This window comes from Homo sapiens, chromosome 2 (genome assembly GCF_000001405.40).
Source record: "Homo sapiens chromosome 2, GRCh38.p14 Primary Assembly".
NCBI classification, from domain to species: Eukaryota; Metazoa; Chordata; class Mammalia; order Primates; family Hominidae; genus Homo; species Homo sapiens.
Window position 1 is genome coordinate 65408830 of NC_000002.12, and position 16831 is coordinate 65425660.

Here is a 16831-nt window from a genome sequence, read left to right on the forward strand (position 1 = left end):
TGGCCTCCCAAAGTGCTGGGATTACAAGCGTGAGCCACTGCACCTGGCTCTAAAGTTCTTAATAGCCCATAAATATTGCCCTAATTCTGCCTTTCATCATAACCCTTATATCCTATAGTCCTTAGCCTGTGTGAGACCACAATTACCTGTAGATATCTCAAAAGTCACAGATGTCATTTACAGATCACCTCTTCATCGACCCCAGACCTTTATGCACATAAATCAACTGACTTAATACAACAGCCCAGAAAAGGAAGTATTATGAGCCCTTTTTCTATATTCAAGGACACTGAAGTTTTTGAAAGGTTCAGGTAATTTAACACTGGTCGCACAGCTAATAAGCAGCAAAGGGAAATTCACACCCAGGTCTGTCCTAGTCTAAGAGGTACTGTCTAACACAGTAGCAGCCAGCAGCCACAAGTGGCACTGAGCACATGAAAATGGAGATGTGCTCCAATTATAACATACAAGCGGCATTTTGCAGGTGTAGTACAAAAAAAGAATGTGAAATACTTCATTAGCAATTTAAAACATTAACTGTTGAAATGAGAATTTTTAGATACACTAAATAATAGACTAAAATTAATTTCACCTGTTTCTATTTACTTTTTTAACACCCCTATCAGAACATTTAAAATTACATATGTGGCCTATGTTGTATTTCTATTGGACAGCACTAGTCTAAATCCTATGATTTTACCAAGTTCTACTGCCTCCCTATAATAACACAGCTTTTAGCAATTTACATCTCATGCACTATTTAAAAATGAATAAAGCCACCTTGACATCCTCACTTCTAGTAACAAGAATTTTGTTTCCTGGCAAGACTGATTTGAGTGCTAATAAAACTCCAGTTTCCTGCAAAAAAAAAAAAAAAAAAAAAAGAATTTTGTGTTCTGATGAAGACTTTCAAGAGAAATTTTAGGCTGGGCATGGTGGCTCACGCCTGTAATCCTAGCACTTTGGGAGGCCAAGGCGGGCGGATCACGAGGTCAGGAGATCAAGACCATCCTGGCCAATATGGTGAAACCCTCTACTAAAAATACAAAAATTATCCAGGTGTGGTGGCGCGTGCCTGTAGTCCCAGCTACTTGGGAGGCTGAGGCAGGAGAATCGCTTGAACCAGGGAGGTGGAGGTTGCAGTGAGCCAAGATTGCACCACTGTACTCCAACTTGGTAACAGAGTGAGACTCTGCCTCGGAAAAAAAAAAAAAAAAGAATAATTTTAAATGCAAAAAAAAAGTATAACATCTTGTGCAAGGCCAGGCGTAATGGCTCACGCCTGTAATACCTATGCTTTGGGAGGCTGAGGCAGGAGGATAACTTGAGCCCAGGAGTTCGAGGCTGCAGTGAGCTTTGATCATGCCACTGCACTGCAGCCTGGATGATGCAGTGAGACCTTGTCTCTTAACTGAAAAGAAAACAAACAAACAAAAATCCTTCATGTGCAGGTGTCAAATGATCTGCAAGCAGCCTACACAGGGGTGTCTCTCTCGCTCTCTCTCTGTCTCTCTCCTGCCCATGCTGGGTTCTTTAGCATCGTTCATGGCATCTGATTATACCTCTCAGGCAGAATCTCCTTTTAAAATCACTATTTATACTCGTCATCCCAGTTCTTCCACTCACTAGGTAAAAATGGTTCCCAACTGGCCTGGCATGGTGACTCAGGCCTGTAATCCCAGCACTTTGGGAGGCCGAGGCGGGCGGATCACAAGGTCAGGAGATCGAGACCATCCTGGCTAACATGGTGAGACCCCGTCTTTACTAAAAATACAAAAAATTAGCCGGGCGTGGTGGTGGGCGCCTGTAGTCCCAGCTACTCGGGAGGCTGAGGCAGGAGAATGGCGTGAACCCGCGAGGCGGAGCTTGCAGTGAGCCGAGATGGCGCCACTGCACTTCATCCTGGGTGACAGAGCGAGACTCTGTCTCAAAAAAAAAAAAAAAAATTGGTTCCCAATCAAAAAAGAACCTAAAGGATGAGGCTTTTATAGATAATCAGTTAGCTTGAAAGATGTAATGCAGAGGGTCTATCGTGAGACGGGAAGGAGCCTATTGTACTTGTAGACTTTTCCTTTGGAGAGTGGTTCTCAGTGCAGGGCAACCAACTGCCATCGGGACAGGGGTCATGGTCTGCACAGAAGGACCTCAGACTGTTTGTTCGAGGTGCCTTCACTGTGGAAAACCTATCAGAGGATGCGCTTGACCTACTGCAATTGCTAACTCTAAGGGTTAGTTCTCTTTCAGGGTTTTCCATTTTTATATTATAATCATCATCTGCTGCAGCAGCTACCTTTAAAAGAAAAAAAGTTTGCTTTCCACGTACCAGGTGCTGTGCTGAGCACTTGGCCCACATTATCTCATTTAATCCTCCAGCAATCTTTTGAGGAATTACTTTGTGTACTTTCTGGACCCAGGCAAGACTCAGATTCAACAGCAGGCTCTGATAGCAACATTGAGGGACACCGAGCCTCTCTTTCCTTCTTTCCTAACATTGCTGTGATATCCCTGCTGCTTGCGGTGGGAGGGCGATTGAATTGGTTGCAAAAGTGCTAATATGGCATCGTTTAATAGTTACTTAAATTACATGCTTTTAAACAGCACTCCCACATGATGACATGACAAATGGTACTTATTCCTATATGCTGAAACGGGCCACACATGCATAGGTTGTGTGAAGTAAATGGCTTGAAGGGACTTGTGAAATTAAGCTACAACAGGGGACAAAAGTGAGGGATGGAATGTTGGCCTGAACAGCTCACTTCCTTGCTTTAATTGGCTTCTATCTTAGTGTTAATTGACTTTGAGTTAAGTGGCTTTCATACAAATCAAGGAAAGCTGACCTTTGGAACGCTGGTGACTTGTTGGGTAAATATGTCTTTATGGACTTCATAAAATTCAGATTGTGTAAACACATACTCAGGAACTATTAAAAAGCACTGGGTGGCTAGAGTAAGGCACAGAGGTGGCCTTTAGGATTGAGTACTCCGTAGTTTAACATTTAAGAAAATGAACAGCAAGACCAGGCGCGGTGGCTCACGCCTGTAATCCCAGCACTTTGGGGGCCGAGGCAGGCGGATCACAAGGTCAATAGACGGAGACCATCCTGGCCAACACGGTGAAACTTCATCTCTACTAAAGATACAAAAAAATTAGCCGGGTGTGGTGGCAGGCGCCTGTAGTCCCAGCTACCCAGGAGGCTGAGGCAGGAGAATGGCATGAACCCAGGAGGCAGAGCTTGCAGTGAGCCGACATGCACCACTGCACTCCAGCCTGGGCGACACAGTGAGACTGTCTCAAAAAAAAAAAAGAAAAGAAAGAAAGAAAAAGAAAAAGAAAATGAACAGCAAGGATGCAATGACAATTTAGGAGGTGAATCTCAAACTGTGGATGTAGGCAGAGGAATCACCTGGAGATAATTTCAAAAACGCAGATTCCCTAGACCCCATACTCATGGAGGCAGATTCAGGAGGCCTGGGTGGGCAGCAGACACTGGAGTACTGACTCTGAGTAGGTGGCCTAGGACCAGCTTCAAGAAAAAATGATTTTGAAACCATCCCTACAGGGCTGACAAGAATTGCACGCCAGATTCTGGACAGAAATACAGTTGTAATTAAGGACTAATTGGGCTGCACTCTGGCCCATTTCCTTGTTGCTAAAAGTCACCTAGCACTAGATATTGACTATTTGCAATCCCATTGTTCCTAGAGGTAGATTTCTGGCAACAGGGTCATATGACTGTTTAAGAGTGGATTTGCATCCCTGTTGTTCCTATAGACTGGATCTCTGACATTAGTCAGAGGCTTTTGTTTAATGATCCTTTGTTTTTCAGCAACCAGTTTGAAGACCCCCCACCCCAAGAGGAATGAGATCAGTATGAGAATACAGCTTCTTCATCTCCTTGCCCTGAGACTTTATGCTGCACTCTTTAATCAATCAATGATCTTCACATTTTGGCCCACTCCAAAACCCTTAAAAATCCTAGTCTCAAACTCCACAGGAAGATGGATTTGAAGTTTCCTCCCATGTCCTCATTTGGCAGTCCTACAGTTAAACTTTTCTCTGCTGCAACCCTGTGTCTCATTGCATTGACTTGCGTGCACATCAGCAACTGACCTATTATGGTTACAATTTTGGCACTATAAGCAGATCATTCACCTTCTTCCCCACCAAAGAATACCACCCAGGAATTCAAAGACCAGAGTCCTTCACCTATAAGTGGGCTGATCCTTGGAACAGTGGGGAACTCCTTTCCCCATCCTTGCCTCAGAACCAATAAATTGTCCAGCAAGTGACCATACTGACACCAAGAGGACCTTCTTTTTTGCCTACCCCTCTCAAGGGGAGAGATGTTTCTCCTCTAAGGCCCAGGTGCTGATGGTGACCAACATACTTTCAAGAGAAAACCAGTGGTGCAGGCTCCATTAAGGACAGCATGCATTTTTTCCATGCCAACAGCCTGGAGCCTTTACCCTGACGGTGGCCTCAAAGCCACCCTAGACTGCACAGGGAGGCCAGCCAATACCCACAGTGCCTAAGAGGCTGAGGCCTCTGGAAAAGCATCTCATTTCTGGGTTCCCACGTTATGAAGAGATGTGGCTGTATCTGTCCACTGATCAGGAAACCAGGATAATGTTTGGCCAACAGAAGAGAAGAGAGGAAACCCTCTGTGTTGTGTTGTCTGCAGGGCGGTCAAAACAACAGAGAATTGGTTATCGCTGCTGCAGAGGGCAGTGGTTCCACAGAAGAACTTGCTGACGATTAGAGCTGCATACCCAAGTCACCGTGCAAGTGGGACCCAGGCATTCCACATCAAGCACACATCTAAGCATAAGCTGCAGGGCCAGCCAGTGTGGTAAGACAGGGCATCCTTCTCAGCTCCCTTGATTGGCATATTTTCTGATCCTGTGTTTCAGTCCCTGGGGGGTCTGAGTGCTTCCATCACAAATAGCCCTAACTCCAAAGCTTATCAGAGTGGTTCATCAAGACATTTGTTTTTTCTACTGAACATACAGACTGCCAAATGTGGTGACTTAAGTATTCCCAAGGCCAGAAAGCGTCAAATCTATAAACAGTTTATGAATGAGTATAAATTTTCAACAATCAAGAATGAGTACTTGTTGGTAAGAGTTAGTGTGTGTAGTTTTATTGAAAAAGTCACAAAAAACTCTAAGTTGTTAACATTCCCACTCTAGGGATATACCGTCCCAGAAAATGCTAACAATCCAATTTACACCAACATGCTACTAGTAAAACTACTTAAAGAGAGAAACATTAAGTCTTAAAAAAATTAAAAAGGTGGGAGGCTGAGCATTTTCAAAGAACAATTTGTTTTTTCACAGGCATGCATGACAGCACATACTCATTCTCAAACATGTTTGTTTGAATTAAGTGATTCTTAATTTCATCTGCTAAATGCTGAATTGTCCCTTCTCCAAATAGGGGAAAGGAGGAAGGGCTGCCTTGCTTGGTTTTTACACGTGTGTGAGTACTACATTTTTCACATTATCATCGCCTATCATCAGTATAACCTCTGAAGCTAATATTCCTGCTGCCTTTGAGAACCACGGAGTATCATCGCCTATCATCAGTATAACCTCTGAAGCTAATATTCCTGCTGCCTTTGAGAACCACGGAGGCTGTGAATGTGAAGTACTTGCCCAAGGGCCTATCAGTTGTCATGGAGGAGTCTTTCTTCAACCTTGGTCCCCTGAATGTCTGGGAAGGGGCCATCATTCCCACCACCCACAACTAAGACCCAGCTCTGCTGTTTGCTCTACTGCCAGGTCATTCAGACTTCTACAGCATTCTCAGAGGTTCCAACCCCTTGTCAAGATGCATTAGTACTATAGAAAGTAATGTACATGCTTGGTGAACTGCAGGAACCTTAAGGAGATGCAAGACTTTGGCCATTACTGGAGTAATCTCAAAGTTGATCTTCTTTAAATTTCTGTGAAGGGAGCTTTTGGGGCGGGACAGGGAGAACAGAGTTGCAGAGGGGACTAGGCAGGAATTGATTGGGAGCTAGAAATCTATAAATAAGGATGTAAAAGCCAGATAGTTGTGTCCAGGATTCCATTTTTCAGGAGGGAAGTGTTTCTCTGAGTCATTAGTTGACTCTATCCCGTTTAAAAAAATTTTTTTTTGTTTTGGTAGACACAGAGTCTTGCTATGTTGCCCAGGCTGGTCTTGAATTCCTGTTCTCCTGTCTTAGCTTCCCAAACTATTGGGATTACAGGTGTGAGCCATCACAACTAGCCTAAACAAAATGTTTTAATCATACTAAAATATACATAACATAAAACTTACCACTTTAACCATTTTTATACAATTCAGTGGCATTAAGTACATTCACGCTGTTGTGTAAGACTCTGTCCCATTTTTATGTATGCCCTTCACATTTTCTCCTAAGACATTAAAACAACTTTTGGGCCTTCCCCACATTTGCATGCAGTGCCACACTTGTGGGTGACAAGATACAATCTTAAAACCTGGCATCAGTCTTTGTTAGAGACATCTGTTTTAAGTCAATGTATTTTCATTTCTAGGTAAAAGCATATGATTTTATAGCTCTGCTTTCCTTTAAATTCAAGCAAATACCAATCCTATGTTAACAAAGTTTTGTTAAAAAAAAAAAAATTCAAATATAAGGAATTATTCCTGTTCCCTGCAAAGTAACTGGCCCCCACTCCACCAAAAAGGGGCAACATTTTAAAACACCTCTATATTTACTGCTTTAACCATTAAAATAGCTAAATTCATATCCTAAAGACATCTGTGTTACATCACCAAGGAAAATTTCTGAAAACATTAATAGACCTTTTAAAGTTTCAGCCGAACCTTTTAAAATAAAAATAAAAACCAGTTATAATTTTGGACTGCTGTAGGTGATTTTTTTTTTATTTTTTAATTTTTTTTATTCAAAGCGACTCTTTGGATCAACAATTAGAATTTATTTTTTATTGGCTCTTACAATTTGCTTCACATGTAACATCCATTTGGTATATGCCTCCCTGGGAGGTTATTGGTCATCTAATTTGAAATGAGAAAGAACAAAGGGCGAAAGAAAAGGAGCAACATTCCTCTCCTCAGCTCACTAATACGAATGTGTGTCACCTTTTAAATACCACCCAGTATGACAGATTAATCGGAATGAATTAATAGGCAGAAGAGAGAGAGGAGGATCTTTAAAAAGACTAAATGCTCCCTGGTCAATACTGCCCAGGTTGGTTGCAACCTTCTAGGTTTGATTTGGGTGTTGCCCCTTCTAAATCCCGGATTAGCTAAAGCATGTTAGAATCTCTTGGATTATTAAAATACCAACTCGGGAGGATGGGAGGATGGGGGTGACATTCAGATTCAATCGGTCTACGGATGAGAAAGGTTAAGATGGGAGAGATGAAGAGTGTTGTTTCTCCTTGGTGACATCCCCAAGCAACCTCAGATATGCTCTTCCTTGGGGCCTCTGGTTTTGTTGCTAAATTGTCCTTGTTGAGACAGTTGGGGGGGTGTATATTTCAGGCTGCATGCCAACCAACACACTGCCCAGGGACGGGATGGGAAATGAACCACACACATCTAGTTCTCCTGGTCACTGTTGTACTGCTCCATCCTGAACAAGAGAGTGTGGAAGAGTGGGTCTACAGGTAAGCCATTATAACCAAACTACCCTCACAGTTTAGCCTCACAAGGGATCCTTTATGCTAAGAAGAATGCCCAGCTGATGGGGATTAACAAGAAAAGCAGAGGGGAGGGGGGTCGCTGGAAGCCCAAGAGAAGGAAATTTTTTAAAAAATACAAGTTTCCTGTCCTACACAAGCAGTATGAATTTTGTTATCCCAACGGGAGTCCTGATGGTAAAATCTAGTTTCAAAGTAGGATGGGGAAATGGATCAAGCCTTACCATGGCAAAGCTGGGTGGGACCTCCTAGGCGTCTGTGGGACCTTGGGCTCTCCGGATACTGTGTCTTGGTTTGGGGACTATTTTCATTCTGTCTCAAGCCTAGGTTTGTAGATGCCCTTGGCCATGATACTTACTAGCTGTGTGATTCAGTACAGAGGACAAGCCCCACTTTATTCGGAGTTAACCTATGGTGCAGTGGCCTTAGAAAAACTTAAGAGTAAAAAGCTACCATAAAAAATGCTGGTTATATGTATGACCAGACGGTCAACTCCTCCTTCTTCTCTCTCTTTGCTATAACAGCACCTGTTGGCTTCTAAGTGCACAGAGTTCTCACAACAATGTGCCAAAACCGCCACCCTTCCCATCCTGGCACCCACCTCCCCCCACCCCAGGAGACCTGCATATCAGATATTACTTCCTGCTGTCTATGACCACACCACCTTGGCAGTTAACATCAAAAGCAAACACATGGGGAGAACAGAAGGCACTGGAGCAGCGGGGGAAGAACAAGCATAGGTAATGTTTCATAAACATTTTTCTGGTGCCCAGGTGCAAAAACCTTGGAACTTCACATGTATTTCAGCTGATCATCTAAGGACCCACCTTCTCTCTCCCAGGATAGTGAGCTGAAGGCCCTTCCCTGCCTCCACTCCCAGTGCTCCTGTACCTGGAACACAGACATGCGGAAACCAAAGCTTAAGACCCCTACCTACCATGTTCAGGAGAGCTACACAAGAAGAGCATCTGGGAAGCTCATCTACCTCCACCTCATGCAGGGTGTGACCAAGGCTAGCCATCTGTTCAATGCTGGTGGTTCAACATCTACCTGGGCCACCTTTATCTCAATTAATTTCCACCATCTTTTTCCTATCTCCTGAGGGTTCAGTAACTCAAAGCAGTTGTCATGAATGTTTAACACAGTACCCAAAACAGGCCTGGAACCAGATGATATCTCACTGATCTAGCCCAAACTAACTAGCTTTGTGACCCTGAGTTAGTCACTCAGCCTCTCCAGATTGCAAATTATGTGTAAAAAAGAGGGAGCTGAGCTCGTATTTTCCTAAGATCCTCTCTAGTTCTAAAAGGTTATGGTCAGATGGAAACCATTTTACTTCAGCGAGAAAGGGCAAAGCATTCACCACTTCACTGACGAGTGCTGTGAGAAGTAACAATACTGAAACCAAACAAAAACAAAACTTCACTTGGGTTAATTCTAGGCTGTATGTCTGATTTACAAAATAAGTTGGCTAATTTTGTTCTGAATTTCACAGCCCCCTTGACCATCTTCCCCAACAACTATCTCTTCACAATATATGTTTCTATATCCAGGCTCACTGCATTTAACTAAAGTCAGAGAGAAAAATCCAGCTGAGATCTGTCAGACAGAATTATTAGTGGTCTCCCTGACTCCAGCCTAGCCTGCACTCTCTAACTAATCTGTTTGATTCTACCAACATATCACTTCATCGTCTCTTTGTTTCAAAGCCTCAACCAGCTCTGTTCTACTCAAAGAACAAAAGTCCAAATACGTGCTTTGTCAGCCTGGCTGGTACTCAATATCCTCCCAAATTTAGCCTCACCTGACTTGACTGGCTTTCTCTGAGCTCCCCCAGCATAAACTCAGACATGGAGTGTCCCTATCTGTGGAAGAAACCTTTGGACATGAGATGTCTCCTCTCCACCTTGCTGACCTGTCTCCTCCCCTAAATACTACCATCATCCTTTTCTGAGTCCTCAAAGACTCAAGACTCACCTTGTCGGAAGTGAACTCTCCCCTGGCTGGTGCAGTGATAAATATTTCTTTCTTTCTTTCCTTTTTCTTTCTTTCTTTTTTCTTTTTTTTTGACAGGGTCTCACTTTGTTGCCCGGGCTGGAGCATACTGGCACGACCTTGGCTCACTGCAACCTCCGTCTCCTGGGTTTAAGTCATTCTCATGTCTCAGCCTCCCAAGTAGCTGGGACTACACATGCACGCCACCACGCCCAGCTAAGTTTTTGTATTTTTAGTAGAGATGGGATTTCACCATATTGGCCAGGCTGGTCTCAAACTCCTGACCTGAAGTGATCTGCCCACCTCAGCCTCCCAAAGTGCTGGGATTACAGGTATGAGCCACCGCACCTGGCCTTTAATTTCTTATCATTTTTTTTTATTTAAAACAAGAATATTATGCTTATAAGTAAGAATAAAAGTCTTTTTTTAAAAAATATAAATTCTGCTTGCAATATTTAGAATGAAAAGAATCCTTAAATATTACTTTATTATTCAATCCCTTTATTCTAGAGATGAGAAAACTGAGTCTAGGGATGCTGACAATCTTGCTCAAGGCCACACAGCAGGTCAGTGGCAGACCTAAGTTTTCTGACTCCCATCCCAGAACTTACCACACTTGGCAAGCAGGTACCTATCTGCTTTAGACTTGGTATCCACATTCAAGAACTTTTAGTGTTGAGTGTATCCTCTTTTCCACTTGTGTACCACACAGACAAGGTGCTAACTCCAAGAGTAGAAAGGGGACAGAGCTGGCAGACAGAAGATTCACTCCCCTAACTCTTCCTCCTTTAATCAGACGACCCAAACTTTATACATAGTCTGTAGGTTAGACTCACTTGTAACTCCCCCCATCCAACTCCAACTAAACATGTCCTTTGCTTTCCTTCAGACCTTCCACTAAATCCACTCCAGAGTACCAAGGCACCCTCTGTGTATTCATCCCTCACCCCCAAAGAGTGCCCACACTTACGTTCTTATATCCAGAATGCGGTTCATAACAATAATTCCCAACTTTCCAAGCACAAGGACTCAAAGGGAAAAAATTCAGGGAGCACTTCCCTTCACAGGGATTATAGTTGTGTGTGTGTGTGTGTGTGTGTGTGTGTGTGTGTGTGTGTTTATTAACTGTGAGCCAAGAAAAATATATGCCAAACATCCACTGTGAATTCAGTAGTATTGTAATAAGGTTGTATTTTATTATTCTACAAATGTAGCTACATACTCTGAAAGACAGTAATACATATGCTTGGGAGACATTACGTATTTGGTTCACAAACAATGCATGGAGTGCATATGGTTTCCCAGACACTAGTTTGGGAACCACTGGCTAGTAGCATCAGTTCAAGACTTGCAGATGAGATATCTAAATGCTGGGGAGAGACCTTAAGTTTTATTCACCTTCTTCTGAAAGAAAAATGTGACAGCCAGGCCAGGCGCGGTGGCTCACACCTGTAATCCCAGCACTTTGGGAGGCTGAGGTGGGCAGATCACTTGAGGTCAGGAGTTCGAGACCAGCCAGGACAACATGGTGAAACCCCTCCTCTACTAAAAATACAAAAATTAGCTGGGCGTGGTGGCGCTTGCCTGTAGACCCAGCTACTTGGGAGGCAGAGGTGGGAGGATCGCTTGAACCCAGGAGGCGGCAGTTGCAGTGAGCCAAGACTGCACCACTGCATTCCAGCCTGGGCAACAGAGCAAGACTCTGTCTCAAAAAAAAAAAAAAAAAAAAAAAAGGAAAAATATGACAACCTAATGAAGATACAACTGGAGGGTCTATAGTTTATTTCAGATTTCCCATTGTACCCACCTCCGTGTTGGAGTTATTGACAGCACAGGCCTTCGTATTTTTAGTACCCCTTTTGGGGGGAAACAAAGGGGCCTCTCACTTGTTTCAGTCCTCTAGTTTATTCTTGACTTTCCCAGCAAAGCTGCCTCAAGTAGAAAGCCCTATTCCAATTCATATTCCAGTCTCTTCCCGATTTCTCACCAGAATTATCTGTAAAGAGTAAGCACTGACAAGTGATGGATAATTTGCATTTTAACCCTATTCAAATTTGGGTAAATGGTTTAATATGCATGCTAATATTCCATCATTATTCCAATTAAGGAAACTATTATGTTAAAGTGTTTAATCAGGAGAATTAGGGAGAACTCCAGACACCTAAAATTAACCTCTAATAGTCTTGACATTCATTTCATTTAAGTGCAATTTGCCAAGCTACAACCAACTCCCGCTTAAGACTTCTGCTTAGGCACGTGGGGATTCCTGATAAGACCTAAAAGCAATTCATTTCCTAACTACATTGCTGTCTAAAAGAATAAACTAAAAGGACCACAATACAATCAAATCCCCAAGCAGTCACATTCCAAGAGATTTAAACATCATCATCTTGATTCCCAGTAACAACAATGCTCTTTGCATCAGAAACAACACAACCACTTCCTCTTTCTCTGACCTTCTCTGTTTAATTACTTCCTGTGATTTCTTCTAGGGCTGAGCGCCCAAGCTTCCCAGGGCGGCAGCCTTTCCGTGCATACATGACTGATTTGTCTGACAGTCAGACATTACACATACAGTTTGGGACTTCACATTTCTTTTTAAGTGATGGATCTCATGGGCCTCCTAGCATTCACCGAGAACTTTCTTTCAGCCATAAAAAAAGAAAAAATTCTTCTAGTACATTTCCATTTAAAATCAAGCTGTACCTCAAAGCTGGAAGTCCTGCTAAGAATGGGGAGGGACAGGCACCTGATGATACCTCTCAGTGTATGATCACCACCTTCTTATCAAATGAGCCTCTTCAGCAAACATTCAAAATGCCAAAGATGTGAAGTCATCTTTTTATTAGGGTCTGGACAATGAAGATAAAACCATCACAGCCATGGATAAGCCCATGAACCCTCAGTGGCATAATTCCTGGGGAGTTTGTTAAGAATGCAGAATCTCAGGATCAGAATCCTCATTTTACCAGATTTCCCCAGGGAATCCCTATGTAAGCTCAGGTTTGAGAAGCACGGCTACAGGATCCTCCCCACAAAACAGCAAGGCTACAATACAGGTCCAGGTGAACACAATGCTGTGTTAGCCACATTGCTCTCACAAGCTTTCCATCAGGGGTAAGTTGGCTTACTCTTTCCAAAACAAGTATTTGTAGAGTTGCTGTTTATATCTCAGTACAGAAAAGGCCACCTGGATTGGCACTGGCTCCCTATTCCACAGAGCTGAACAGGAATGCAAGGAAGAAATGTCACTACATAGTTCTGAGGTGTTTACAGGATTCTAAATGAGTTCTAATTTCATTTGCTCAACAGTAATATAAACCAAGCTATTCAGATAACACAATTTTTTATACGAGAAAACTGAGGCCCTGTGAGGTTGTAACACAGACTGTTGTTCTACAGATGTTAAGATTTGAAGTCAAAGGACCTGGGTTAAAAATAACAAATCCTGCTGTGTGTGTGAGACCTCAGGCAAGACAGGGCCCTCTCAGAATCTTTTCCTCACCTGTGGTATGTGGACACTTGACGGTTGGACATATTCCATCCATGTGTGAATGTGTACGTGCTTGTATGTACAACACACACACACACACACACACACACACTCTCTCTCTCTCTCTCTCTCTCTCTCTCTCTTACCCTCACTCATTCTTTCTCTCATACCTAAAAACGACTTGAAAAGCTTGCTTGTTTGAAGATTCTGGCAAGGGCCTGTAGGTCCTTCAATGCTGTGCATGAAGAGTTCCCCTACCCCAAATATGAGAACCCCAACACATCACATTTCTAGTTTGCAGCTCTAGGAGGAACCCAGCAGGAAGGAGGGGAAGAAAAAGGAAAACAACTCTAGTTAGTAATCAGTTAGTCAGTCATCAAGAGGGCTGTCCTCACACCTTAAAGCAGATGAAACTGTCTAGCATCCTAGAATGTAAGTGCCCCGAGAGCAGGGACTTCCTGAGCCACAGCTCTGGTATTGTATGGCAGGCTAGGTGCTCTATATTTGCAGTAAGTGAATGGCACATGGTAGGCATTCAATGGCTAGTGGCTCCCTCTCCTCTGGCTGTACTTCCACTCATTTATTTTATCCAATACAATAATTTACACATAATTTTGCAACTGGGGCCTAAGTACATTCTAAATTCAAGTTATTCCGATTCACAGTATATCACACTCCAAATCAACACCTATAATCTAGTATCCCCAATTTTCCTTAGTACAAAAGACATCTTAGAATGGACGGTAAGGTCTTCAAAGGTTTTTTGTTGTTGTTTTTTATTTTAACAAACAGCAGAGTACTGTTCTGAAGTGTGCTCACACACAGATCAATGAGAAGGCAACCAATTATTAGGCCTTCAGGGCCAGAGGTGAGCTGTTGAGCCCAGGCACATCATTCTAGCAAGGCAGATTTGCTTTGCGAGTCTGAGCCTGAGAAAAAAATCAAACTTGACTTAACCTTTAAGCAAAAGGGAGAAATGTAATAACTATATTAAGACTATAGTCACACTTACGCTGCTTTAAAAGATCTATAAAAATGAGTAAAATTACTGGGATGTTGATAAATTAAACCTCTAGTCTAGCACTATGTCTGTATTCCCACTCCATCGTCCACTTTATTCCTTGGCTGGAAAAATAAAATGAAATGCCAAACATGGCATTCAAGTAGACAAAACATGTCATAAGCCAAGTGACTCCTAAGAGGATGGTCAGTCCCACCCATCCACACCAAGCCTACTGACTTTTGTTTTAGAGAGAATTTGAATGCTGCTGGTAATAAGGTATCTAGACCACATATCAGGAATGGCGTAGGGATGGCAGGGGAGCCAAGGATGCTATTACAGGTAGGTACTCTTACCCTAAGAGAACAGACAAGCTATAAAACTCAGAATCTCAAAAAGCACAGCCAACTGGGATCACTGAGTAAAGGGGCCAATGGTCAGCTGGGCATTATTGATTATCACAGTACAAAAACTACCAGGACACCATTAGAAAGCCAAAAGAAACAGTCAGTCTTAGAACATGACTTCTAAATCCTAATTATCCTCCCACAAGCTCCCTGAGGAGCCTTGAGCAAGTCATTTCAGCTCTCTAAGGTACAAAGTGAAAATCTTGTTTCCTGCCTTGTAAAGTTCATGGATCTCCTCTGCCTTGTAAATTCTGAAAAGAAAGAACACCTTATTACATGATGGGGGACAGACCTGGGGTAGATGGATGCTACTGAATCTCAATTTCTCAGGTGCTGTGCTAAAATGTTTTACCAAGGCTACCTCATTTATGCTTTTTTTTTTTTTTCTTTGAGATGGAGTTCTGCTCTTGTTGACCAGGCTGGAGTGCAATGGTGCAATCTCTGCTTAGCACGATCTCTGCTTGGCATAACCTCCGCCTCCCAGGTTCAAGCGATTCTCCTGCCCCAGCCTCCCGAGTAGCTGGGATTACAGGCATGTGCTAGCATGCTCAACTAATTTTGTATATTTAGTAGAGATGGGGTTTCTCCATCTTGGTTGGGCTGGTCTCGAACTCCTGACCTCAGGTGGTCGGCCCACCTCGGACTCCCAAAGTGATGGGATTACAGGCATGAACCACCATGCCTGGTCCATTTCTACTTTTTAACAGCCTATTAGGTATACAGCAGAATGAACCTCATTTACATTAATCCAGGGCTGGTGGCTTGGGATACTTAGCAGGGTCCCTTAGTGGCAGGGGAAGAGGTACGGTCTCACTCCAAAGTCCATGATTCTTCCACTACCATCATGGCAGCCTCTCCTTTAGTAGTTTTGAAAAAGCAACTCAAAGTCTTTTTTGGATATAGGTATCCAAAAAAGATAATTGTTAAATTGTGAAAAATTGTTAAATTTTTATACACGGTACAATTATTTTTTCAATTAATGAATAGTTACTTCAACCAATTGATAACTGTTTACAGAAAGCCTACTATGTGCTCAGTGTTCTGCCAGGCCATGGGTATGAGGGTTAATAAATTATTCTCAAAGGGCATGGTGGTGTACACCTGTGGTCGCAGCTACTTGGGAGGCTGAGATGGGAGCACTGCTTGAGCCCAGGAGTTCAAGGCTCCAGTAAGCCATGATTGCACCCCTGCACTCCAGCCTGGGCAACAGAGCAAGACCCCATCTCTAAAAAAAAAGTAATAAAAATAAAAGATAAAGCTATTCCCATGCCAGGTGCAGGTGGCTCATGCCTATAATCCCAGCACTCTGGAAGGTCGAGACAGGAGGACTGCTTAAGGCTAGGAGCTGAAGGCCATCCTGGGCAACGTTAAGAAGACCTCACCTCTACTAAAAATTTAAAAATTAGCCAGGTGTGGTGGCGCACACCTACAATCCCAGCTACTCAGGAGGCCAAGGCAGAAGGATCACTTGGAATACTCCAGCCTGGACAACAGATCAAGAGTCTGTTTCAAAAACAAACAAACAAACAAACAAACCTATTCCCACACCTAGAAAGACAGATGGGCCAAGCTTCTCTGTGCATTCTCAGTTAGTATGGATGCAAATACAAAATAAACAGTGCGTATCTGAAAAGTCAGTACTGGAGGCCAGAGCCAAAGCAAAGCAGTAAGAAAAAGAAACAAGAGGAATAAATAATGAAAATGAAAAGACAAAGATGTCATTACCAGATGAACAAATGAAAGTCAATTAAAAACTTAACTGATAATTAAGTTTTAAGCATTTATAAATGGACCACAGGAAATATATCAAAGAATAAAAACAACCAGATCTGAAAAATCGTTATTTCAGGACACAGAGGAGCCAAAACCATACATTTTAGAAGCTCCCAATATTTGTTCTAATCTCTTCAATCACAAGTGTTAAATGCTAAGGGTGAAGTCAAAATCTGTTTCTTTACCTTTACCCTCTAAGTGCAAGTAAACACAGAAAGTTTGTTTTTAAATAAATATTCAACTACCCTTTGAGAGTAGCAGGAAGAACATAAGCACAATTTGATAATACGTGTGCAATATGCCACATGTGAACATAATGTTGATAAAGGTTACATGAGAAAGGGAAATGGGTAGTTATGAAACAATTGTTACTTAATTTAGCAAACTCCCATGATCCTGGCCTGACTTTCTTTCCATGACATGGGACATATGTCAAGATGTAACAATCCTTCATGTCTATCCAGGGAAAGCATATAAAAAATATATT

At 42.6% G+C, this 16831-nt stretch overlaps 1 protein-coding gene across 3 annotated transcripts in view, besides 2 other annotated features; it reads right to left on the reverse strand.

Moving 5' to 3' along the window:
* SPRED2 (sprouty related EVH1 domain containing 2) overlaps window positions 1-16831 on the reverse strand; it is a 125425-nt gene that overhangs the window by 101655 nt on the left and 6939 nt on the right. The gene's annotated exons all lie outside the window — the stretch shown is intronic.
* Window positions 11552-12053: an enhancer, noted in NCBI's record as "NANOG-H3K27ac-H3K4me1 hESC enhancer chr2:65647515-65648016 (GRCh37/hg19 assembly coordinates)". NCBI's record gives its function as "activates a minimal SCP1, AML or CMV promoter by ChIP-STARR-seq in primed H9 embryonic stem cells {active_cell/tissue: H9 hESC(primed)}" and the evidence as "EXISTENCE:reporter gene assay evidence [ECO:0000049][PMID:30033119]".
* Window positions 12054-12553: an enhancer, noted in NCBI's record as "NANOG-H3K27ac-H3K4me1 hESC enhancer chr2:65648017-65648516 (GRCh37/hg19 assembly coordinates)". NCBI's record gives its function as "activates a minimal SCP1, AML or CMV promoter by ChIP-STARR-seq in primed H9 embryonic stem cells {active_cell/tissue: H9 hESC(primed)}" and the evidence as "EXISTENCE:reporter gene assay evidence [ECO:0000049][PMID:30033119]".